Source organism: Homo sapiens, chromosome 15, assembly GCF_000001405.40.
Source record: "Homo sapiens chromosome 15, GRCh38.p14 Primary Assembly".
In the NCBI taxonomy this organism is placed as follows: domain Eukaryota; kingdom Metazoa; phylum Chordata; class Mammalia; order Primates; family Hominidae; genus Homo; species Homo sapiens.
This window is the reverse complement of record NC_000015.10, coordinates 51,323,962-51,349,044: the sequence shown is the minus strand read 5'-3', so window position 1 is coordinate 51,349,044 and position 25,083 is coordinate 51,323,962. Positions and strand designations below refer to the sequence as shown.

The 25,083-nt window shown below is 43.7% G+C and overlaps 2 protein-coding genes across 7 annotated transcripts in view, besides 18 other annotated features; one reads left to right on the top strand and one right to left on the bottom strand.

The window, feature by feature from the left end:
- The window catches only part of GLDN (gliomedin), a 71,711-nt gene extending 64,321 nt beyond the window's left edge, over positions 1-7,390 (bottom strand). For 3 of the 5 annotated variants that reach the window (XM_017022125.1, NM_181789.4, XM_017022121.2), the window contains exon 1: positions 6,998-7,390. In XM_017022125.1, coding sequence (XP_016877614.1) covers positions 6,998-7,360 — 363 coding nt within the window. In that variant the 5' untranslated portion in view covers positions 7,361-7,390. The other 2 variants (XM_017022126.3, XM_017022124.3) reach the window with 2 other exon arrangements.
- Positions 8,039-8,402: an enhancer, noted in NCBI's record as "-2408 to -2047". NCBI's record gives the evidence for it as "EXISTENCE:reporter gene assay evidence [ECO:0000049][PMID:8132535]".
- Positions 8,039-10,524: a biological region, named in NCBI's record as "CYP19A1 promoter I.1". NCBI's record gives its function as "regulatory_interactions: CYP19A1".
- Positions 8,209-8,233: a transcriptional cis regulatory region, noted in NCBI's record as "hATRE-1". NCBI's record gives its function as "may negatively regulate enhancer activity" and the evidence as "EXISTENCE:site-directed mutagenesis evidence [ECO:0005528][PMID:8132535]".
- Positions 8,306-8,332: a protein binding site, noted in NCBI's record as "oligo-e". NCBI's record gives the evidence for it as "EXISTENCE:protein binding evidence [ECO:0000024][PMID:7626451, PMID:7635140]".
- Positions 8,306-8,349: a transcriptional cis regulatory region, noted in NCBI's record as "hATRE-2". NCBI's record gives its function as "positive regulation of enhancer activity" and the evidence as "EXISTENCE:site-directed mutagenesis evidence [ECO:0005528][PMID:8132535]".
- Positions 9,947-10,524: a promoter, noted in NCBI's record as "-500 to +76 promoter". NCBI's record gives its function as "drives expression in placental cells" and the evidence as "EXISTENCE:reporter gene assay evidence [ECO:0000049][PMID:2171939]" and "EXISTENCE:transgenic organism evidence [ECO:0001131][PMID:10200304]".
- Positions 10,055-10,524: a mobile genetic element.
- Positions 10,143-10,172: a transcriptional cis regulatory region, noted in NCBI's record as "-305 to -275 estrogen site C2". NCBI's record gives its function as "mediates induction by estrogen" and the evidence as "EXISTENCE:site-directed mutagenesis evidence [ECO:0005528][PMID:12839940]".
- Positions 10,206-10,285: an enhancer, noted in NCBI's record as "-242 to -166". NCBI's record gives the evidence for it as "EXISTENCE:reporter gene assay evidence [ECO:0000049][PMID:1372865]".
- Positions 10,206-10,524: a promoter, noted in NCBI's record as "-242 to +76 promoter". NCBI's record gives its function as "drives expression in placental cells" and the evidence as "EXISTENCE:reporter gene assay evidence [ECO:0000049][PMID:2171939]" and "EXISTENCE:transgenic organism evidence [ECO:0001131][PMID:15677755]".
- Positions 10,207-10,231: a protein binding site, noted in NCBI's record as "GC box". NCBI's record gives its function as "important for promoter activity" and the evidence as "EXISTENCE:protein binding evidence [ECO:0000024][PMID:9817601]".
- Positions 10,237-10,254: a transcriptional cis regulatory region, noted in NCBI's record as "ERE-208". NCBI's record gives its function as "mediates induction by estrogen/estradiol" and the evidence as "EXISTENCE:site-directed mutagenesis evidence [ECO:0005528][PMID:19299445]".
- Positions 10,256-10,279: a protein binding site, noted in NCBI's record as "NRE". NCBI's record gives its function as "positive regulation of promoter activity" and the evidence as "EXISTENCE:protein binding evidence [ECO:0000024][PMID:21757507]".
- Positions 10,259-10,276: a protein binding site, noted in NCBI's record as "HARM-a". NCBI's record gives the evidence for it as "EXISTENCE:protein binding evidence [ECO:0000024][PMID:1517227]".
- Positions 10,265-10,286: a protein binding site, noted in NCBI's record as "-183 to -162". NCBI's record gives its function as "mediates induction by retinoids" and the evidence as "EXISTENCE:protein binding evidence [ECO:0000024][PMID:9528950]".
- Positions 10,365-10,369: a CAAT signal. NCBI's record gives the evidence for it as "COORDINATES:motif similarity evidence [ECO:0000028][PMID:2171939]".
- Positions 10,420-10,425: a TATA box. NCBI's record gives the evidence for it as "COORDINATES:motif similarity evidence [ECO:0000028][PMID:2171939]".
- CYP19A1 (cytochrome P450 family 19 subfamily A member 1) overlaps positions 10,449-25,083 on the top strand; it is a 130,540-nt gene continuing 115,905 nt past the window's right edge. For both annotated transcript variants that reach the window (NM_000103.4, NM_031226.3), the window contains exon 1: positions 10,449-10,550. The gene's annotated coding sequence lies outside the window, so the exon portion shown is untranslated. The remainder of the gene's footprint in view (positions 10,551-25,083) is intronic.
- Positions 19,731-19,931: a silencer, noted in NCBI's record as "fragment chr15:51621311-51621511 (GRCh37/hg19 assembly coordinates)". NCBI's record gives its function as "represses an EF-1alpha promoter that drives an FKBP-Casp9 reporter gene in an ReSE screen in K562 erythroleukemia cells {active_cell/tissue: K562}" and the evidence as "EXISTENCE:reporter gene assay evidence [ECO:0000049][PMID:32094911]".

Sequence of the window (25,083 nt, the reverse complement as noted above, 5' to 3'; positions counted from 1 at the left end):
CCGTCCACCGAAGATGGAATTGATTTTTAGAAACAGCAAAAAACAACAAAAAACTGAAACCAAACCCATTGCAAAAAACCACATCGACCTCAATCAGTAATAGCAACAATCACAATGACACAGTAACTACTATACTTTCAGAATCAGGCTGGTAAATAAAGGCATTGTGGTCAAGCTAAATAAAGCCCTTTGGGTTCAAAGCCACTCATGATTCTGAGATGAGACTTCTGCAAATGCATGATTGGAAGTCCTAACATGGCCCCTAACAATGTGAGTGTTGTTTGGCCAACATTCTGTCAGCCAACTAAAAAAACAAAAAAAGAACTTTTTTGAATTGCTGTCAATATTTAAAAGCCAGGAGATTTCACATTAAAAAAAACAGATTTTGTACTTCTCTTAAAAAAAAAATCAGGCTAGACACAGTGGTTCATGTCTATAATTCCAGCACTTTGGGAGGCTGAAGCAGGAGGATTTCTAGAGCCCAGCAGTTCAAGACCAGCCTGGGCAAGATAGTGAGATTTCTACTAAAGAAAAAAAATTTTTTTTAATTAGCCAGGTGTGGTGGCACACACTTGTCCCAGATACTCAGGAGGCTGAGGCAGGAGGATCATTTGAACCCAATTAGTCAAGGCGGCAGTAAGCTATGATCACTCCACTGCACTCCAGCTTGGGCGACACTGTAAGACCTTGTCTCTAAAATAAAAAAATAAAATAAAATAAAAAAATAAAAAAGAAAAGAACAGAACAGAAAAGAAAAAAATATCAGGCACAGGAAGCAGGAGGCTCCGGTTCTTGTACAGTCACCATCAGCGGGAGCCTCCCCTTTAGACAAGGCAGATGAACCTCAGGTGGGTGCAGTCCCTACCGTGCTCTATTGCTCCCTGGCCTAGGAGCAGCTGCCAAATTACCTGGGGTACAAGGCCCTTTTTACTCCCATAAAGAAGAGAGTAACACAGTCACATGGTTCAAAAGTCAAAATGATACAGAAAGCTATACAGTGAGGGGTTCATTCCTCCCTTATACCCTCCAAAAGTAAGCACTTTTGTTAATTTCTTTGATTAGTTTTCCCTTTCTTGCTTCCACAAGGTAATACAATATATACTTTTCTCTGCCTTGCTTTGTTCACTTAGAATATATCCTGGGGATTGTTCTGACTCTTATTATATAGAGAATTTCCTCATTCTTGTTCTACAGCTACTTAGTATTCCAGTGGGTGTATAGATTAATTTAACTAGTACTGGATTGGTAGATATGGGTTATTTACAGTCTTTTGCTTTTACAAATATTCTGCAATGAATATGTACATATGTCATTCATAGGTGATAAAATCTATGGTGAGATTGCTGGGTCAAAGAGTATTTGTAATTTTTTCCAGATTTTGCCAAAGTGCCTTCTGTATGGGTTCCATCATTCCGCACTCCGAACAGCAATGCAAGAGCATGTCTGTTTCTCTTCAGCTTCCCTAATACAGTGTGTTGTCAAACTTTTGTAGTTTTGTCTTTCTGTTAGGTTAGGGGTGTCCAATCTTTTGGCTTCCCTGGGCCACAATGGAAGAAGAAGAATTGTCTTGGGCCACACATAAAATACACTAATGCTAGCAATAACGGATGAGCTAAAAGGAAAAAAAATCGCAAAAAAATCTTATAATGTTTTAAGAAAGTTTATGAATTTGAGTTGGGCCACATTCAAAGCCATCCTGGGCCACAGATTGCACAAGCTTGTGTTAGGTGAAAATTATATTTTGGGGTAGTTGAAATCTACATTTTTAAATGAAGAGATCTTTTCCCATGTGCTTATGAGACATTTGTATTTCTTTGCCTGAGAACTGTCTCATTTTCCTGTTGGATTCTCATTTCTGTTGCTGATTTTCCTATTAAATTTTTTTAATCAACTTTTAGGAACATTAAGTGTATTAGAAAGATTATGTATCTATGATATGATATGAGTTTTCCAGTTTGTTTTGCTTGTTTTGTTTTTTTTGAGATGGAGTCCTCCTCTGTCGCCCAGCTGGAGTACAGTAGTGCCACCTCGGCTCACTGCAACCTCCATCTCCTGGGTTCAAGCGGTTCTCCCGCCTCAGCCTCCCGAGTAGCTGGGATTACAGGCACTCACCATCATGCCTGGCTAATTTTTGTATTTTTAGTAGAGACAGGGTTTCACCATGTTGGCCAGGCTGGTCTTGAACTCCTGATCTCAGGTTATGCACCTGCCTCAGCCTCCCAAAGTGCTGGGATTACAGGCGTGAGCGACCACACCCGGCCTCCTAGTTTGTTATTTATCTTTTGCTTTTGTTTGTGGTGTTTTCATTTTTGTTGTTGTTTGCTATGCCGAAGTTTTGCTGCTGTTTCATGTGCTTTTAAAATATAGTCACATTTGTTTATTTATTATTTGCATCTGGCTTTTGAATTATAACTTGAAAGAAAAGGCTTCCCAATTCCAAAATTAAAAATGATATACTCATATTTTCCTTTAGTTTCATATTTTAAAAATGTAAGTCTTTGACCCATTTAGAGCTTGTTATACACATTGTGAGAATAAAACTATTCTTTTCCAGGCTTTATCTTTTCCCAGAGGGCTTGCCCGTTGTCTCAAAATCATTTATTAAATTCATTCTTCCTCCCTGGTGTGAGATACTGTCTTTATCATGTACTAAATTGCCATATGTATTTAAGATTATTTCGGAACTTTCCACTCTGTCCCATTGGTTTATCTATTCATATCCCACTCTGTTTTAATTACTCAGGCTTTAATTATATTTTAATATCTTGTAGAACCTAGTGTTCCTCCTTGTTCTTTTTCAGCGGTTTCCTTGCCAGGAATGCTTATTTTTCCATGTGAACTTTTGAATCAGTTTGTCTAATCCCAGAAAAAAAAATCTATTGATAGTTTTATGTTGGGATGACATCAGATTTCTAAGTTAACTTTCAGTTAACTTATTATGATGCTAAGTTTTCTATCCAAAAACATACTATTTTTACCATTTGGTTTAAATATTTTCTGTTCTACAAGAGTGGTCCCCCAGCCCTTTCTTAACACAAAAGGTAAGTATATAGATACACACACAGGTTTTGCACATCTTTTCTTCCATTATATCTTTCAACAGATGATTGTTTGGGTATAAGAAGTCTATTGATTTCTTAGTAATATTTTAATACCTTGTTTCCCACTGAATTCTGTTATTTTTAGTAGTAGGTTATCAACAGATTTTCCAGGTATATAATCGTATGATCTGAATATAGCCAGACTCTCACTTCTTAACATATTTAGACCATTTTCCCTTGTCTTGTTGCTCTGGCTGGTCCTCCTAGGACAATTCGAGATACTATTGGTGATAGTGGGCATCCCTGTCTTAATACTGATTTTAGTAGGACCATCTCCAGGATTTGACAGTTCAGTGGAAAGCTATAGTTTTGGGGGTGAGACACAATTACATTTTATCATGTTAAGAAAGAATACATTGATTCCCATTTTATTGCATGTTTTAAAAATCAAGCATTGATGTTAAATTTTATCAAATGCCTTTTCATCATTTGACTATTATGGAATCATATTTGCCTTCCTTAAAAGAACATTTGAATTGTAACTCCTGCTTTAAAGTAGCCAGGCTGATTTTCTTGTTAGAGAGGTGCCAAGGACATTTTGAACAATATCCTGGGCGTAGAAATGCATACAGTCCCTCAAGGACAACAATTATCATGGATACGTAATCACCAGTCTCAGTGTCTTATATCTTCTCTATGTTTGTTTAATTTATGAAAATATTTATGAAACTCCCTCTGGGTGCTTGACCCTAGATTTTGGACAAGTAAAGACAGGATGATAAAGCTACCAGAACATCAGCAAATGTGAGACAGGAAGAGAGGAATGAGAGAGGGTAGCTGATGGGAAGAGAACAAAAAGAATATGAGAGGAGGTCAGAGAAAAAGAGAGTAAACAGAAGTAGCATCTCCCACAGGAGTTAGTAGCAGATGGGTCAAATTTTCTCTCTCCCCGCTCACCAGATCCCCATTTCCTTATTGGCCTAATTCAGTAGTTTCCAAGCCCCATCCAGGGCTCCTCTTATTACTGTCTCCCAAAAGTATGCACATGGTTTTAAAGATTTAATGTGCTTCTTGGCTGTGTCAAATTAACTGTACTTAATAATTATCTTGCCTTTTTAATGAAGTCATTTACAGCTGCCAACCAGGTTCTGGTAAGAATGTGCTCAGCTAAACAGAATTCTTATGCTGAGTTGATGTATTTTCAGCCAACAGTAGAGAAACTCAAAGTATCAGTTAAATTGAGGTTCATCTTGGATAAATGAACCATTCTGGAAGGCTTTTTGAAATGTTGACATTAGTCTGCATAGAGTTTGTTTCTTCGTTCCTAGACCTCTAAGGACATAAGACCTCACAGTGAGGACCTTGGATCTCACTCTCATTCAAGATCTGGTGGTGTATAAAAGGGCCAGGGAAGGTGTAGCCTTCACCTATAAGAAGTGTATACACTTGCCTCCACGATATATACTAGATCATTCTCTTAACTTCTCTCCAAGAGCTACCAAATGATGTTTTTTATAAAATTGTTTTCTTATATGAATAATTGTTCTGAGAAAAGCAGAGAGTAAAGATGAGGAAAACTGTGAAGCTGAATGGAAAGAATATTGCTGTCATAAATTAAAAAGCTTTTCAGTAATAAAATTGGCTCCTCGTCCTGAAGCAAAGGCCTTGATGGGGTCTGGTGGGAGTGTGATGCCTAACACAGCTACTATCGATAGGAAGTTATGCCAAGGTCCTTCCTGCTGGAGAATAAGCACTCCATCCCCAGGCTGTGGCCTAACAAATTAATTCAGAATCTCTGGGGATGGGATTCAGGCATCAGTAAGTTTGAAAGCTCCCCAAATAGTTCCAGTAGGCAACCTTACTACTCAAAATGTGGTCTTCAGGCCAGTAGCATTGGTAGCAGTGGGAGCTTGGTAGAAACGCAGAATCTTAGGCCCCAGCTTAGACCATCTGAATCAGAATCTGCATATTAACAAGATCCCCAAGATATTCCTGTGCACAATAAAGACTCAGTGTTAGAGACTGAGTAGTATTTCTTAAAGTGTGGTGCCTGGACCATCTGCACCGAACTCACCAATGGCATAGGAGGTGGGGGGATGAGGGTCAGAGGACTTCTAATAAAGCAGATTCTGGAGAGGATTCTATAGGTCTGAGGGAGAGGCCCTGGAATCTGCACTGTAATATGCTTCCAGCTGATTCCTAAGCCTACTGTTTGAGAACTGCTCCCAAGAGGAAAGTGAGTAGTAAGATGATTGCCTTCTCCTAGCCTCAGGGACAGGCCCTCATGACTCTAAAAGGTCAAAACATACCCATTGCAGGTGGGGGATGAGTTAGTTGATGATAATCTACTAATAATATCCAGTCTGACACATGTGATAGTTCTGCTCTCTGACCTGTAACAGAGTTAGTGGTAGCACTGCGAGGTCACCTAGAGTTAATTTGACACAGAGATGAGTGTCTCCATTCAATTTGTTAGTGACGGAATAGGTTGCAATTCGGATACGAAAGCTTCTACCTTAAAAGCAGGATTAAAAATGTAAAACAATGATGCTCAGATGTATCCCTTTTTGAGGATTTTTTAAAAGCCTTAAAATGTAGGGTAGAGAGCTGAAAGGGCGAGAATGAATTCCCCTAAGGAGGTTTTTTTCATCTTATAGCAGTCCTTTTTTGAAACTTCTGCTTAGGTCCAGATTTTTAAATGATAACATGAATTTAAAAAACAAATGAAGTGAGGAATGGAAAACTTGATCTCTCTCAAAAGATGTATTTGAAGTATGTAGTACTTTTACGTAGTTTTAAAAGCATTTCAGCTCATGTAAGTTATTTAAAAGCTTCTGTGATAACGGAAGTTTAAGTCAATTTATTTTCAAATACCTAGGATTCTGAAGTATGGCTCACACTTGACTGGAGGTAATAGCCGAAATCTTTCTAATTATAAAGTGAAACAAGACTGTTGCAATTGTAATAAATAATGAAATGGAATGGGGAACTGCAATGTGATCTAATAGTATTTGTTAAATACCTATTGAATTAAAAGCGGCAAAAGCAAAGAAACTTAACACTGGAAAACAAATCTTTGAGGCTTTGAAGACTTTCTTCAGAGCAGTGTTTCTTAAACCTTTTGGGGGAGGCATGCAATGGGGGACCCCTTGAAGATCTAGTGAAAAGCTGCAGACCCTCATCCACATGGGCAGGAGGGCACAGGCACACACACTTGGCAATTTCTGCAGTTCCGTGTACTCCCTGGAGCCCAGTGGGGAGACCAATCCGCAGGTCCCATGTTAAGAACCTCAGCTTTGACACTGCATTTTAAGAAAAAAATTGCACCATATTGACGTCCCTCATTTGGAATTGCTTGAGATCCAGGGGCAACTTTCCCAGCATCTAGGTCCCAGGTGGGCAGTAAAACTAGGGCTGTTTTCACTTAAACGGAAACAATTAGGCCGGCCATCTCGCAGGAATGAGGCGATGCCAGGTGAAAAGCCAGACCACTAGTTGATGCCAGGGAAAGAATCCCTTTATTGAAAAAGCCTACGCTCTTTCAGAAACGCGCCTCCATCCTCTCAGAGGGCCCCACCCACAGGTCAGTGGCACAGGCGGAGCCCCAAGGCTGCTGCGGCTCCATTCACACCAGGAGACGAAAACTTGTCTAAGCTGAGAAGGAAAATAGGCTCTTAGAAACACTGCCTTCGCCCTTCGTTTACATGTGGACTCAAAGAATGTCAGAGGTAGAAGAGACTCCCTCCTTCACCCTGTCCCCAACCTCACAGATGAGAAAACAGACTCCAGTGGGTTGAGGTGCTTGCCAAGGTGACATCCCCAGCTACTCATGCCCACAGCCCTCTCCGCAGCACCTCGCAGCCTGGCCAGGGGAGAAGAGGGCGTCGGCGTCCTCGCCCCACACCCCCAGCCGCCCACCTGGCCGGGGCGCCACGGGGAACAGAGACCCCGCCTACCGGCACCATGGAGTAGGTCATCATCATCAGCATGTCATGGCTCTCGGCGCGGATATGCGGCGCGGGCTCGCCGCTGTGGCTGCGCTTGTTGCGAGCTGAGCTGGCCGGGTCTTGGGGTGGTGCGGACGCCCCGCGCGGCGCGCGGCTCAACTCGGCCAGGAAGGAGCGCAGGGCACTGTCCTCGCGCTGCTCCCGGCCCCGCTGCGCCTCCAAAGCCCGCAGCGCCGAGCTCAGCCCGCGCCACTGGCACAGCGCGAACACCGTGCCCGCAGCGTTGAGCGCCGAGAGCAGCGCCACGGCCGCCAGGGCGCCACGCAGGCCCCAACCCGCGTCCCCACGGCCTCCCTCAGCGCCTCGGGCCATGCTCTATGCGCCTTGGGCAGGGCAGGGCTTGGCAGCCTGCGGCCCTGGCAGCCTTTATACGCCTCGGGCAAGCCGTGGGCTGGTGGCAGCGTCGTGAGTCAAGTCACCCTTTGGCCCAGCTGGCGGGGCGGGATGGGGACAGTAGTGGTGGCGCCCGAGCAGCCCAGAGGGACAGGCGGGCAGAAGCAGGAGAGGAGCCAGTGGAGGCAGCCTGCGGAGGAGGGGCTGGCAGGGCTCGTGCTCCCAGAGTCCCGCCAGCTGAGCAAACCCTCTCCTCCTCTTCCCACTGCTCTGCCTGAGGGCATTGCCGTGGCCCAGACAGGCAAAGCAAGGGTCAGACTGAGGGGGAGAGCAGGAATTCTTATGGAGAGAAGTCTCCGGATTCCACCCCCTTCTACCCCCACACTGCCCTCTTGGAGAAAAAGATCAGCATGCCCAGATGCTAAGGCACGTGCCCACTGTCCATGGGAGGTCTGGTCCTGGCCCGAGCACCAGGCTGCGCATCACTCCCCACCATGGCCATGAGGCTCCACGAGGCCACTGAAGACCCCAGATGATCTTTCCCAGGAAGGGGATGGATAGGGGCAAGGAGACACTTGGCACTGGAAGGCAAAAAAGGCCACCCATCAGAACCAGAAAAGCCCAGGACTGCCTGGCCAACAGGACTCGTCCTTGAAAGGAGAGTTCCAGGATTTGACAAGTCAGGAACTCTCCGATGAGATCCATATCTGGAAAATGGCAGGATGGTGAGGAAAAAAACCCCAGGAATCAGGAGACCTAGTTCTAAAGCCACTCTGTTGCTACTCAGCTGGGAGGCTTTGAGCATGTCCCAAGACCATGAGGAGGTGCTTTCTGGCCTAAGGGTTGGAGAGCTGGGCCATGGTTGGGTTCTTACCTAGCCCTAGGAAAACATGTTTTCCCATGCCTCTCATTTACTCCTCACAACTTTTATGTTGCCCAATACCTGCTCTGCCTCGAGGGTCACTGTCAACCAAATGCAGAGTCACTTTTGAGTCTCCTCAGAGAACCTCTTCACTCAAGATCTTTCTCAGCTTCTCCTAGAATGGCTCTGCTTCCCTGGGGCCCCAGGACCTATGGGAAACTAACGTAGACAGCAATCTTCAAGCCCCATGTTAAGAACCTCGGGTTTGACATTGTTTAAGAAAAAAAAAAAATCACTCTGTTTGGATGTCTCCCATTTGGGAGACCCAACCAGAAGGCAGGATTGCTGTTTCCATAGCCCAATAACTCAAGGAAGAGGTGCCTCCCCGCCAATGAGCCAGCTGGAGCAGTTATAGAGAAAGGACTTCCTCTATCAGAGACCACACTGTTTCAGCACCTGAGGGAGACCAGTAAAATGATCAGAGAGCAAGCTCCTTTTGACTTAATGGTAGGAGCTCTGTAACCATCTACTCCCCAAAGATTCACATTCTGATGTGGTTTGGATCTGTGTCCCCACCCAAATCTCATGTTGAATTGCGATTCCCAGTATTGGTGGTGGAGCCCAGTGGGAGGTGACTGGATCATGGGAGTGGTCCTTCATGAATGGTTTAGCACCATCCCCTCAGTGCTGTTCTCATGATAGTGAGTTATCATGAGATCTGGTTGTTTAAAAGTGTGTAGCATCTCTCCTGGCCCCTCTTCCTCCTGCTCCCACCATGTGAGATGTTCCTGCTCCTGCTTTGCCTTCCTCCATGAGTAAAAGCTCCCTGAGGCCTCCCCAGATGCAGGTGCTGCCATGCTTCCTGTTCAGCCTGTGGAACCATGAGCCAATTAAACTTCTTTTCTTGTAAGTTACCCAGTCTCGGGCTTTTCTTTATAGCAAGGCAAGAATGGACTAATACACATACCAATTCTTGCAGGTAGGATTTTTTGGCACAGGAGAGAAAGCTGAGTAGTATCAGACTTCTTGCCCCCTACTCTCCAGGGTGAGCCAGGGTAGAGCCTCTGAGAATGCACAAGGAAACTGAAGTGACATCTCAATCAGAAATTCTGAGTCAAAGTTTAGATTCCTGAGTTTTAATAGGAACATTGACCAACTTCAGTATTCTTAGAAGAGCATACAGGATAAGAAGAAATTAGGAAAGCATGAAGGTCCAAGTGTTTCATAAAGTACCCCCACTGTGGGGATATGATGACTGGGAGGGGATGGCAGTGATGTAAAAAGCTTTGTCCATTTCCTCCCAACTCAAACGTTCTGTGACCTACTTGAAGAACTGTCATGTATCCTTATCTCTTTTCATCCAGGTATCAGGTTTAGGGCCAATGGGGAGGAGCCACTGAGAGGGAGGGTTGACACTCAGCATCATTCAGATCTTCATTTAATTCAGTAAACACTTAACTGAGCACTTCCTGTGCCTGGTATGATAATGGGCATTGGAGATACGGAAGTAAAAAAGACAGGCAGATTACCCTGTGAGCAGCTGGAACACCGTGGAGCCTTCTGGGCTTCTCTTTATCCTAACATTCATTGCAGTTACTGTTGACTGATCATCTCTCAGCAATACCCACCATTAACCATGGAATAGAAGCCTCCTGAGGCTAGGGGCCATGTCACCCCCAACACATAGCACAGTTCCTGATTTGGAATTCACTATTACCCGTTGAATAAATGAGTGAATGAACGAATGAATAAATGAAAAGCTGTATAGTGAAGGCACTTCTATGTAGAACAATGTGGTGTGTGGTGGGGGGTGTGATCTTATGATTACATGTATATAGATTTTTGTCCATGGTTCTTGTCCATAACTCCCATGACACTTGCTGAGGTCTTTTGCTATAATGTAGAGGTGCTTTAGGCCTCAGGAAACAGAATATTTCTCTGGCCTTCTTTGCCCTCCTTTCATCCACCCAAGGCGGGACTCTATAATCTGATTGTGGGTCATAAGACCCTCATTCCAGAGGAGGTCATGCCCCATACCCTGGAGGAAGGAATGCTGCACAAAGAGAGGAAGAAGAATCTGGACAGACAGACCTTGCTGAGATTAGATCATACCCTTTTTGTCCAATCACATTTTGTTCAATCACATGCTTCAGTCATGGACAACAAATGAAATCTCCATAAAAGGCCCAAAGGACAGGGTTCAGGGAGTTTCTGGAGGGCTGAACACGTGGAGGCAAACAGGAAGGTGAAGAAGAACTTATCCTATCAGGACGGAAGGTCCTGTGCTCGGGATCTTCCAGACGTCGCGTATGTATCTCTTAATCTGACTGAGCCCTCAACCTGTGGGATCAGACACTCTTTCCAGGTAGATAGTGTTGGAACTGAGTTGGAGGACACCCAGCTGGTGCCCGCTGCTTGGTGTGTGGGGGAAAATCCCCTACATTTGGTCGCAGAAGTCTTCTGTGTTGATGACTGTTGTCGTGGTGTGAGAGCAGAGGGAAAACACTGCTTGAGTGTTTTTCTGAAATAGGAGGGCCTAAGAACTATACTGTTCTATGCCACAGAACTGGCCCCCTACTTTCCTTGAAAGGCTGGCTATCCAATGGTGAGGAGAGGAAGTGGTAGCCTGAACCAGCCTCCCCATTTCCCCACCTCCCACCCCAGTTCAGAGCCCAGATCCAGTAGACAGAGCAGAGATGAGGCCTGCTTGGAGCCAGGCAGGCTCTATTAGACAACTTCAGGCCAAGAAGCTGCCCCTCTTGGGATGCAGGACTCAAAAGGCTTGTAGCATGGCCACCCCGTGGGCTGGGTTGGTGGAAAGCCTGGGATATTGCTCTGGGGCAAGAGGGGCAGAAGGAAGCGCAAATGAAAAGCCAGACTCCTTTCCTACCAGACTCCACTGTCAGATCCCTCTCCAACTCTTCCTGTGTGGGATGATGGCATTTTTCACAGAAGAAGGGGGACATGTTGATATGGCCTACAAGGTAGACATCTTCACTCATCTCTCACCCTAAAGTGGCTGTGCCCAAGCAGCTGCCATGCTCTGCCCTCTTTCCTCTTCTCCTCTATCTTCTCTCTCCAACCCTCTTTCCACCGCAGTGCCACACAGTGACCTATCTCCATCACTGGCCTATTTCAGTGTTGCCCACTTTAAGGCCTAACTCCGAGTACCCTTCCTCATCTAGCCTTGACTTCCTAGGCCAGTCCCAAGCACTGTGAGCTCTACAAGCTGCAGGGGCTCTGTGGTTATGCACCTGGGCTTTGGAATCAGACCTGACCTTGAAACTGTTTTTTAACTGCATGACTTTAGATATGCTACTCAAGTTCTTTAAAGAGACTGTAATTGTATCTATTTCATAGGGTTGTGAAGCTTTAATAAGAAAATACTTGTAAAGCACTTGTATAATAAATGTTCAACACGGGTTGGTATTGTTGGATATGGGCCATATGAACTGGCTGAGACTTACACTGTGTGTGCCTTGTGCTGTTAGTTGACACTTTAGTTCTTCTGTGCCTTGTGCTGTTAATCGACATCTTAGTTCTTCCACATCCTATTTCTTCAGTTGGGTTACAATATTCTTAAGGCAGGGACCTATCTTAACTGTCCTCTCACAGCAGGGACTTGTGCCAAGTAGGAATATTTGATTAATGGATTCATTAGCTAATCACACTTTGTAGATGCTTTTTGAGGAACAGAACTTTTGAATGCACGATAAACTTGGGTTCTCGTCTGAATACCATGGCTTTGAGGTTGGTTATATGGAGCCTTTCAGTGTGAATCCCTAAGCCTCTTGAGATTTCTTGAGAGGCAGATATGCCTGCATAGCCTGCCCTGCCTGATACTTCACAGAATGGGCTGCTACTTTTTACTTATTATTAAAAAAAAAAAAAAGCTATCAATCTGGCCTGTTTTGTTGACACAGGAGGCTCAGGATATAATGCGGACACAGGGAGATATCTCAATTCCCTTTTTTTGGAGACCAAAGCAGCCAAGAACATTGTGTGCTATCTTTACAATGAGAAGTAGTTTTTCCATTAAAAGGCAGATGCTTCATTTCCAAAAGTTAAATAGAATGGTCCTTAAAAATGATTCCAGCTGGTTAACTTTAGGGCTCTGGAGAATAAAATCAAATTCAAGAATATACCCCAACTTTAGTTCCACAGCATTTCTTCCTGATTGTGAAGTAAATAATTTTCCTGGCCTGGCACTTGGGTATTCTTGTCTTCAGTGATGAGATTGACAGCTACACTGTGACTTTTGATGGTTTTACTGCCCCACCACCCTTCCACCACACTGGTGATTAGGGAGAGAGCCACCCTAAAAGTTGTCACCACATGCATCTTCCACTCAGCCTCTTATGGTTTTAACTCCCCATTCCTACTGTTAAACCCCAAGAAACTTCACACCATCCAACCAAAGTCAGCAATTCTCCCTTTTTTCTTTCTTTTATTCTTTCATGTATTCATTTACTCAGCAAATGGTAATTGGGTGCCTACTATCTGCCAGGAACTGTGCCAGGAGCCAGGAATAGCATGGAGAGCAAAGCCAGGCATCATTCCTGAAGCCTGGAGTGGGGAGACAGATTTACCAAACAATATTAGACATGAGGGTGCAATTCTAAATGCGGCCACGAGACAAATGCTCTGGAAGAAAGGAATGCAGTTCCTTGAGATCATATCACTGAAGAGCCTGTCCTAGAGTTGGATGTGTGGTTCAGGGAAGGCTTCCCTGAGAAAAGGATGCTTGTGTTGGCACCTGAAGCTGAGTTGTAAACTAGGCGAAGATAGGGGTGAGGAGAATTGCAGAGAGGAGGAACAACACGTTCAAGGCCCTATGGCAGGAGATGGCATGGCTTATTTGAGGAACCGTAAGAAGCCAATGCGGTGCCACATGGAGCGTCAGGAGCAAGGAGGAGGGAGTGAAATGAGGCTGTAACCAAGGCAGGGACCAGACTCTGTGGGTGGGACCTTCCTTGTAGGGCTGAGGCCTTTACTGTAAAAGCAATGGGAAACAAATGAGGAGTTTTACGTGTGTGTGGGATGGGGAGGAGTCGGTAGATGGATGACAGATTTTCATTTTAAAAGATTACCTTTTACTGCCAAGACTTGCAGTGGCTTCTGTCACTATGGAAACCATGTATGATCTCTGACCTCCACCAGGGCCAACTTCAGCCTTTAAAACCACCTGGAAATAAGGAAGTGCTGAGTTCTAGAAAATGTAACTTTCTCTTTCATCTGTATGTAAAAAGGTAGTTGAAAAACAGAACCGTGACTAAATTTAGATCATTTAGCCAATCTTGATACTAGTAGGGGTTTTTGTATAAAACACAGTGTGTTGTTAGCATTTTCTTGGAAGTTAGCCTTTGGTGCTTCCAGGTAAGAGCACCAAATCTGCTTATCTCTAGGGTTGGGAATAAGAATAGATGATATTGCTTCCGTTGTGAGATTTTGGTCCAAGTCGGGCTGGTAACAACAGATTTCCGCCTATCGTAGTAGCAGTGTCTTAGACCTTTGAGTTGCCCACTCATTGTTTGACGTGGAGCTGTCTGTGGTTGTGAAGGTGATGCCATTTCAAATCCCCACTTCCCATTGTTTTCTCTCCTTCTTTGCAACAAACATGCCCTCCCACCCCACCCCACTCCACCTTTCTAGTGTAGTGTACCCAATTGTCACAGATCAGATTCTCTGGAAACAAGTGCTGAGATGGAATTTGGAGTACAAAATGGTTATTAGGGATCAGCACCTATGAAGGAAAGAAGGAGAAGCAGGATTGGGCAGAGGGAGAAATCCAGCACAGTCCAACCCTGCAAAGCCTCAGCCAACCCACTGGGAAGCTCTGGATTGTGTATTGCTCATCAGAGTGTCCTGTGTCAGGCCAGAGTGACTGGGCTTTTACCTACCTCACTCAGTCACAGGACAGATGTGGGATGCCCTGGGAAGGTATGACCTGGGGCCAGGTGGCTCTCTGCAGCTGAAGCATGCTTTAATCTTAATCTCTGCAGCCAGGCAGTCAGTCCTTTCTTGAAGGGGGACCCTCAGGTCCCCACATCTCCACATCTACCACATCAACCACCTGAATCTGCCATTCCAACATTAGTAGGCTTTAAATTGTAACCGTGACAGGCTGTAGAAAGAAATCTTTTCCTTTTTCACCTGGAGTGATGGCCTTTCAATAAATGAAAAAGTGATTGTTTTCAGAAACAATGAAAATGTAAAGGAAGCTCTAAGAGTGGATTCTGTGCAATCATGAGAATGGCTCATGAATTTGAAACTGCAAAATCCACAGAAGTAAGTTAATACTGCAAAGCTCCACTTATGGAACTCGAGCCACTGTTTTTGAAAGATAAAACAAAGCCTTACATGTGTAGAGCACTTCAGTTTTCAAAGTGCTTTCTCATGTCATTTGAGTTCCATAATAAGCCTGTGAACGGGGCAGGGCAGGTTTTATAAGCATTTCACAGATGAGGAAGTCAGGGCTCAGGAGGTTTAAGTGATCTGCCCAAGGTCACATTGTTGAAACCTCATCAACGTTCACCCATGCCCTGTTTATCAAAAGTAGGAAATTTTTGGCCCCCATCTTGGGCCACTGAGGAATGCTCAAAATGATGGACAGGAAGTGAAACAATAGAGCAGGGAAATGATTCAAAGTGATGGAGTGGAAAACAGCTCAGACTGGCACTTGGCTCCAAGGCTTAAAAACAAACCTGGAGCAGACACTGAATGCTAGAATGTGTAAGCTAGTCAGGAAAGAAAGCCAAGCCTGGTCTAGCAGATTAAGGAGGATTTTAAGAGATCAATGATGTAAGAACATGATTTCCTAAAAACCATGTAGGGGAACTGTCATCTCTGCAGTGAATAGGTGCATATAGGTCCTAAAAAAAAAGTGAATTTGGGGCCTGATAGCCTAAGACCTTTCATTCCTGGGTTGCAAAGGCAGAGTAACAAGCTAGAATAGATATGCCTCACCTCTCCAGAGAGACTGGTTGGGAGTGACCAAAAGGGATTCCTGCCAATATTAAGCCTGGAGAAGATGACACCCCATCTGCTGAGCCTGGAGACTCAAGCCAGGGACCAGAGGAGTGGCCCCGGCTAAGAGAAGCTTACCTTTTATTGCCAAGACTTGCACTGGCTTCTGTCACTATGGAAACCACGTATGATCTCTGACCTCCACCAGGGCCAACTTCAGCCTTTAAAACCACCTTTCCAAATGAAACAAGAAAGTGCTGAGTTCTAGAAAATGTGACTTTTTAGGTCAAACTGTGGACCCTAAACATGTGCTACTTTCTTAAAGCTGTATGAGTAAACACATGGTCTCCAAACCACCCCCGATTCTGTAATCATAAGAGGGCACCAGTATCTGGGCATCAGTGAGTATCCTGGCAGATGGATCTGGCTGGATGAGGTAAGGGAGTTGTACAGGTGTGCTGAGTCTATCTCTACTCCTGAGCCTGGGAGATGTGAGAAAACAGGAAAATGAGAGTCTCCCCGCCAGTGACTTGATAGGGGATTGAGAACCACCATTTTTGTCCCTTCTGAGAAGGCACCTCAGCTGCTGGCCCTGAGCCCAGAGAGCAGACAAAAGAAAACATTACCCTTATACTTAGGGGGCACAGCAATGCTCTTAGAAGAGGCTCACATGAAACCAAGCCACTAGGGAACAGTAATACATTTAAAATATTAACGTTAGGACATAAACATTCCAGTAGAGCACAAAAAGACTTTCTGGAACCAAATGACAAGATCTGCAGACAAATTCAGTAGCTGAAGGAAAGAAAAGTAGTAGTTAATAGGAAGTAAATTTCCCAAGTTAAGAAAGGGCCTGAGTCTGCCTATTGGAAGGTTTTGGCAAGTTATGGGCAAGACAAATGATTCATAGGTTGAGAAATTCCAGAAGTCTAAGGATGAAAAGAAAATCTTACAGTCTTCCAGAAAGAAAGTACAAGTGACTTATAGGGGAAGAAGGATCATGGGGGCATCAACTTTCTCTTCTATGACACCTGAAGTAGGGATGATTGAGGCCAATCGTGTGAAGATTACTGAGAGAAAAACACTGCACACCAAGAATCCTGTAGCAAGACCCCACTCCTCTGTCAGGGTCAAGGAAACATAGTTGAGAATATGCAAGGAAAAGACCTGTCACCCATATCTTCCACCAGATAAAAGGGTGTTAAGATCTAACCAAACAATAGATGAATCAGCTTAAAGGCTACAGGATGGAAAGAGGAGGAAAAGGGAGAAAAAAATTAGTGGTGAGCAAGGAGCCTTACAACACATCGTCAGTTAAATTCAGACAGATAATAATAGACAGTTCAGGAATGTGTAATATAATTGCTGAAAATAGAAGAGACATATTTCAAGGGAAATGTTAACAATAGCCTGGAACAAAAAGTTCTAAAGGAGAAAGAGGGGAAGTGAAGTTTCCACAGGTCTCACATTGGTGTGTGAGAGTGGGAAGTGAAAGCGTCCTAAAGGCCTCATGCTGGGGGAGGAGGAACAGCAGGAGAGGAGAGAATCTGGGGAAATAGTTGGACTCTTATGTTGGTATAATGGAATAAAAGAATGAGTTTGACTACCAGTGACAAAAAGGAGAAGGACCTGGTAGAATGAAAAACTAGACTAGAGCTCCCAAATTAAGAAGAGAAAGAAAATAATTGAACAGAAACTTGATAACTAATTAATATAAAGAACATCAAGGGGGCTTAAATAAGTAATAAATATTAAGTAAAATAGAAGCAATAAAATTCAATGTATTATTAAATGTGAATAGAATTATTCTTAAAAGAGACTATTAGATTTGGTAAAATAAAAAGCAGACAGTTATATGCTTTCTTGTATATATATATGTATGTGTGTGTGTGTATGTGTGTATATATATATATATACACACACATACAAGAAATAAACACATTTAACAAATGTGATAAAAATTGAGAATAAAAAGTCAAGAAAAAATACCAGGCAAATGCAAATAACAAAGCAGGAAAGAATTACTCTGTTAATACCCAGCAAAATGAAATGTAAAGAGCACTGAATAAGATAGAGTTGCTATGTAATGATAATAATTTGCAAAAAGTCACTAACCAGTATGTGTTAAAAATCAAATGTGAAAAATAGTAAAGCCATGTGTGATTTCAGTACCTTTCTTCTTTACAGAGAGCAAGAAGTCGCGCCCCCCTGAACTCGCCCCCATTCTATCCAGTCCTACCACATAAATAACCATTCTGGGTCATACAAATACATATGCTCTTGCAAAGATGCAAAAAAAGATGCTAACTATACTTATCTCCTTCTGGGTCAGTATTTACAGGTTTGCCCCCATTCCTTATTTCCATGAGGAGAGATTTCCCTAAAATGCCCCTTGTCCTCTTTCCGCTTCTCCTTTTCTTCTCCCCAGAGAGGAGGAATGTCTTGGCTGACTCATCTTCTTCACCTCTCCTCTTTCCTTTTCGTAGCCAGCCTTATCAGCAAGCTCTCATTCTAGTCTACTCTCACGTGGCTCCAGCTCTCCAGGGGCAGCCTCTCTGCAGGAAGGCCTCGGGTGTTCAGTGCTGCCTGTGATGAGTGGGTCTGTCTTTCTCATTTGGAAAAAATGTTGCTGAACATTTAATGTTACCATTTCCAATGTCAGCTTTATCCCTAATAAAGCTGACGTTTTGATCTCCATCTGCCTTGCTCTCATCCTACCACCCGATTGGTTTAGAATTGTGGTGGAGAAAACAGGAACTCAATTCTGGGGGTCTCCTTACAACTCCAAAACAACCTTATTCTTCCCAAAGTCAACCAGCCATCTTTAATGTGGCTATACTCCTCATCTGCGCTTCCTCATCCCTCATTCATTCGCCACGTCACGGCCATGTAGCTTCTTCTCCCACCAAACATTGAACCCATCCTGCCAAGGTCGCTGATGACTTATTTGCAAAATACAATGAAAACTTTTCAGTCTAAAGGTCAATCTTACTTGAAGTCTCTGCAACTTTCAAAGCTCTTCATCACTTCCTCCTCCTTGACATTCCTTCCTCTCTGAGCTTCCATGACACTACTTTCTCTTGGTTTTCCTCCTACTTCTCCGACTGTTCCTTCTCAGCCTCCTTGAACTGTTCTTCAACTTCTGTGCACCCAACTGCTAGTGTTCTCCAGGGTTGTGCCCTACATCCTCACTCTGTTGACTCTTCCTTGGTGATTTTATCCACTGCCGAGGCCTCTGACCACCACATACCCAAACCCTGCCTGTTGCCCAGGGCTCTCTTTGGAGCTCTAGACTCAAAGGGCCAAGTACCAGTGGTGTAACTCCATGTACGACAGAAGAAGGTACCATATCATTTTATTTTTTATCACTTTATTAATGATAGCAAGATTTTTTCATATTTTACTGATCAGTTGTGCATGTTTACAGGTGTATGTGTATAAATCCTTTCCTCACTTGACATTTCTTATGCCCCTTCTCTCCTCCTCTTCCTTTCTGTCCTGCACCTTAGTTTGGGTCCACAACACACCTCAACGATGTCGCTGTGCCACTTCTCCAAGTGCACCTTCTACTCCCAGTCTGCTAGTTTGTGAGCCCAGACTCGATTCTTCGGTCCATGTGATATGTTCATACACAGGGCTCTCCACAACCCCACCCCTGCCTACTCTCTCTCTGCCCTGTTTCTCACCATTCCGCCCTTGTGCCTCACGTTCCTTCTTCCAGCTTCCGGGAGGTGCCTGCTCCCTCCCTGCTCCTTGCCACTATCATGCTCATTTCTCTGCCTGTTTTCCTCTTCTCCCCTTCTCTGACTGGCTGACTTTATTCTTTAAAACACACATCTGATGTCCCTTCTGGGGAGCCCTCCAGCCCCACATCCCAGGGAGGGCTAGCTGCTCCGACTGTGTGCTCCCACTGTAATTGTATTTACCCATCCTGGTGTATATCTGGTCATTTCACAATGGCCTGTCGCTCCCTGTCTGTCTCCCTGTTAGGCTGTGAACTCCTTGGGAATACTCCTGTATCTTGCTCATCTAATACTCCCAGAACCTCATGCATACCTGGCATGTAGTAGATGTTCAATACATTTTTGAATGAGTGAAAGTGTGATAGAGGGCAGTGCCCTTACAATTTCTTTCTGAGATCTTGCTTCCTGACCACAGGATTCACTCGCTGAAGAGGAGTGATCAGTTTCATACCAGCAGCACCCTCTGCCCACTGACAGATGGTTCTCCACTGGGAAACTTTCTTCATCCCCGGTGGTATTTGAAGGGAGTTCTCTATACATGTTTACCTTGTAAAATTTCCCTCCATCAGTGGCCCTGGCCTTGCTGGCCTTCCCATTATACCTCTTGGGGGGCACTACTAATACCCATGTCTTCTGCTGTTTCTCAAAAGGCCCCTAGCCTTACTATCCAAATAGACACTGAAAAGGGGTGGAAATCCTGGGGGCAGTCAGCTCTCAGAGGGTGCCTTTTTAGTGTCTCCTGCCCCTCTGGTTTGCCATTGCCTGGCTCCTGCTGAGTCTGGAGTGGGGCCCTATGTGTGAAGCAGTAGCCTCCTGTTAGAGTGCTCCAGACCATCTCAGTGTGAACCAAGGGCTGTTGTGGCCAAGAGCTCGGCATCCCAGAGTCAGTGACGAGAAGGGAGGAGGCAGGCCAGGGCAAGAACATGGCTCAGACTTGTGTGGGAGTGTATTAGTCGGGGTTTTTCAGAGAAGCAGAACCAATAGGTTGTATACAGAAAGAGATTTATTATAAGGAATTGGCTCATGCAATTATGTAGGCTGACAAATCCCAAAGTCTGCAGGGTAAGTTGGCAAGCTGGAGACCTACGAGAGTGTAGGCCTGGTCTGAGGACCAGCAAGCTCACAACCCAGGAAGAGCCAATGTTTCAGTTTGTATCTGAAGGCAGGAAGAAGCCAGCATCCTAGCTTGAAGCCAGTCAGGCAGCAGCAATTCTCTTACTTGTGGGACAGTAAACTTTTTGCTCTATTCAGGCCTTCAGCTGATTTTTTGAGGCCACTTGCATTGGTGAGGGCAATCTGCTTTACTCCAACTCATTCCATTTAGATGTGAATCACATCCAGAAACACCCTCCCCAACACACCCAGAAAAATGTTTGACCAAATATCTGGGCACCCTATGACCCAGTCAAGTTGACACATAAAATTAACCATCACAGGGAGCAATAGGGGGATCAGATGACTCTCAACTCCAGCTGTTGGAAGTCACACTTAACGTACACACACATGTACACACACACACACACACACACACACACACACACACACCCCTGCCCTGTAACTCAGGATTCCCAGTGAGGGTGGTTCCACCCATTAGAGCTATCTTTGGAAATTTGTGGAGGCATTTGTTACTATCACAGTTTGTTACGACGGTGAATGTGGGATGCCATTGACATTTAGTGGATGGGTAGGGGGGGATGTCAGATGCTCTGCAGTGGTCAGGACCATCCACATCACAAGTGACTGTCCCTCATCACTTTCAAATGTCCTGCTCAATGTTTATGTCCATGAAAACTTGTTTATACATAGGTGGATCTAGCATCCAACCCCATTTTATATATAAACACACAGGATTTATTTTTTGCAGTTTTAAAATACACTGAATTTTTCAGGAATGCAGCATAGAGTGAAGATGGTACATATTTGTTCAGGACTTTATGAAGATTGTTCACCATTTTGGAAAATCATGTTACAAATGGCAATGGTAATCACAGTGTTTGAGCCATACTAAAAACACATGTGACTCTGTGTGCATTTAAATCTATTGCATTCATGGCGACTCTACACATAGGTGCAGACATCTAACTACTTAGTAGGATTTCCAGTGTAGTCATGTACAAGATTTTTTAGATACTGAAATACTTATTTTTCTATAAAATTGCTTTTCTTTCTTTCTTGATTATAACCCAGTGAGTGTATTCCATTTTTTTTTTATATTATGAATTTTGGGAGGAAATTTTATGTGTAGGTAGATATATTATCTATGGGTTTCATTTGAGCATAACAAAAGGAGAGTTACAAGTTATGTGTTGTTGGTTTGTTTTCATTTGTTTGTTTTTTCTGAGACGGAGTCTTGTGTTATAAGAAGGGACACTGAGTCTGATGTGGCAGAGAGCCACTATTTCAACTGAACTAGTGCCTGTGAAGAACACGCATCTGTCTGTTGGGCTGAGCCTGGCCCCAAGGGACCTGTGGACCCTGGATCCTGAAGACACTGGATCCTTGAGAATCGCTTGAACCCCGGAGGCAGAGGTTGCAGTGAGCTGAGATCATGCCACTATATGACAGAGCAAGATTCTGCCTCAAAGGAAAAAAAAAAAAAAGAACAATGTCAAATGAATTAGTGAATGGATGGATGAGTGAATGCATGCATGCATGATTTGGGGGGTGAGAACATTAGATGGCTCTACTCATTTAATCCCAGTGTCTGTGGAAATCAAACACAGGAGACTGCTTTGTGTTTTCTACCAGCCAGCTCACCAACTGAGCCCCTAATGGTGCCTTGGCTTTACTCAGGAGTTTAATTAGCCCTGGCGCTTGATTCTGAAAGAAATGGAGAGCAGTGATGAACACAAACAGGAGAGATCTGGGCAGTAACAAGCCTGGCATATGGCACCATGGATCACCCATTGGCCTTAGGGCTGGACTAAGTCCTAGGTGACTTTACTTCTAAATGTTACTCATGTTTATTCTTTCAAGATGCTAGATAATTAAGACCTGACTACCCGAAACCAAAAATACGAGCTGCTTTTGGATGATTAGTGGTGCATGCAGAGTCATTGGAAATGTAGTGGGAGTAGGGAAAACAGTTCTGGGTTTGGATTCAAAAGACTGAGCTTGACCCCAGACTTTCCCCACAACTACCTGTATGGTCATGGGCAAGCTAGTTCATATTTCCAGGTTTAAAAGCCTATGGTTCAATGAAATGCAGTAAACAACGATTCAGAGGAATTACACAGTGATGTGTTTATAGTAGATACACCACGAAGTTAAAAACACTTGTACTTTCAGGTCTCTCATTGCCCTGGCCCCTTCCAAAGCCCTGTGTCTCATTTTGTTAGATGGTATCATTATCCTAAACCTGGGTCTCATATTAAGGTTTCTTCCAGGTTCAAAATTCTATGTTACTGGCCAATGAATTTAAAAAAGAACATTTTCTGTTATACAACTCCATTCTATTCCATAACTTGTAATTTTTTAGTTTCAAGGACACCACTATGTCATATACACATTGTTCTTTTCTTTAGGTACTTAGCATGATTTTGGACAAATCTGATAAAGAAAATTGAAAGTCTAGATCCCTGGGATTTACTACTATAATGCTTAAAGTTGAGCCACATTCTCAACTTTATCGTAGTTGAAAATTCTACAGCAAGAATTCTTTAACTGTAAGATCTGTGTTGGGTTACTGTGAGTTTCATTTCAGTCTCATTTTCATTGTTCTGGAGTTCTGGACATCTGAGGCAGCCCATGCAATTTTCTTCCTTTCTTTTTCTAGAAGAGCTTCGCCTCTGGCCACTTGGAAGCTGGGCCTTGGGAGGTCCAGGGGTAAACTGTGCATTAAGCTGACAGTGCTCAGTAAGAAAAATCTTTACTCTGTGGCAATCTGGTTTGGACACCTACCCTAATCAAACTGGGAACATTTGGGGAGGACTCAGGAATTATCTTAATTATAGACACCTCTGACTTATAATGATTCAACTTATGATTTTTCAGTTTTATAATGGTGTGAAGTTCACTTTCAGTAGAAACTGTACTTCAAGTACCCATACAACCATTCTGTTTCTCACTTTCAGTACAATATTCAATAAATAACAAGAGCTATTCAACACTTTATTATAAAATGGGCTTTGATTTTGCCTAATTGTACGCTAATGTAAGTGTTCTGAGCACATTTAAGGTAGGCTGGGCTAAGCTATGATATTTGGTAGGTTAGGTGGACTCAATGCCCTTTTTTTTTTTTTTTTTTTTTTTTTTTTGAGACGGAGTCTCACTCTGTCACCAGGCTGGAGTGCAGTGGCGCCATCTTGGCTCACTGCAACCTCTGACTCCTGGGTTCAAGCGATTCTCTTGCCTCAGTCTCCCAAGTAGCTGGGATTACAGGCATGTGCCACCACGCCCAGCTAATTTTTGTATTTTTAGTAGAGACGGGGTTTCACCGTGTTAGCCAGGATGGTCTTGATCTACTGACCTCGTGATCCGCCCACCTCGGCCTCCCAAAGTGCTGGGATTACAGGCATGAGCCATGGCGCCTGGCCTGCACTTTCAACTTTTCAATATTTCCAGCGTACAATGGGCATATAGAGATGTAGCACCATGGTAAGTTGAGGAGCATCTGTACTTGTTGGATAAGTATGAAGCTCAATCCTCATGGTTAGTGTCATACTCTGCTAGCCCAAGAGGCTAGAGCAGAAAAAGTGGGTGGCAGGGGAGGCGAATATCTATGGGCTGCAAGTCCTTACAATGGGATCTTTCTTCCCAGACTCCTCAGTCCTCACCACTCCTACACCCTGCCAGTGAAGAACACCCACAGGACATCTGTCTTCAGCTTGCCATTCAGATCCACTATAAGGGCTTCACCCTGTAGCAACTTGGCTTGGACACTGACCCTAGGCAAACAGGGAATGTTTTTTGAGATAGGGTCTCTTGCTTCTTGCCCAAGCTGGCCTCAGCCTCCTGGGCTCAAGCAATCTTCTGGCCTCCCAAGCAGCTGGGACTACAGGCACATAACCGTGTGCCCTAAACTTGGAAATTTTACCTGGTTCAGGAATTCTCTTAATTATTTTGTTTTTCTTGTAACTGGTATTTTGTTCCCTTTGTGAGGAGGGGAAAGGAAGTATTTTCTTTATTTATCCTGCTTTCTCATTTTCACCAAAAATGAGGTTACAGATCTACTTCTGACTTTAATTTGTAACACACCCCAGAATTTTGTTATTGTTTTGCCTCTGACTTTTGTTTTCCCAACATAAAATCACTTCCACCTCAGAATTATAACCCCTAGGGTCCCTAGAACTGATAATAAAAATTCTAGATCAGTGGACAACTTAAAGGATTTCCTGTTAACATTTACTCTACCTGTCTAAAATTTGCATCTTCCATTGCTTTTTCTCAATTTTAATTTCTATGTGTTTGTTTGCTAGTTGGATTTAAGTAGACATTTCGTTTTTAACCAGTTTTAAAGTTGCCTTTTATTTTTGGCTAATAATTATGTTTTAGTTTATATTATTTTATTGCCATTTCATTCTCAACCAGCCAGGAGCTGGCCTGGATTAGAAGAACTGGTTCTAACCTCATTGGTCTGTTATGTTGTCACACAGGGTACATTACTTAATTCATCAGAGTGGGGCTCAATCAGTGTGATGGCCCCTCTCTTTACAATGTTCTGGTAGCCTATAAATCGGCTTTGTTTTATTCACTCTTATTTCTATGTTAGCATCTTTGGAAAAATTCCTAAACTTATTTGGGAACAAATTGTTATTATATGAGGCTAATGGTACCTAGAAATAACTAGAATAATTCCCAAGAAGTTATGCCTTTATAAAATATTCATCTTTGGCAATGACCAGAAATGTCTACCTTTACATAAATTAGTGTGTCCACTCTTTTTGGGGCTGGTGGGGTGTCTTCTGACTGGCCTTCATGTGTGGGAATAGCCCCATTCCAAGTGCTGCTTGATTGTAAAATTGGACCAAGCCTGTCATCACACTGCCCAGTCTTTGGGTAGGGGGAGCTGAGAGATTCTGTGAATATTGTCAGAAGGGACATGTTTTTGGATAGGGAGGGAAAAAAAGCAAGATCCCCAGGTCCCCTGATTTTAACCATGACGTAGAAAACTCCACACAGACCCTCCTCCC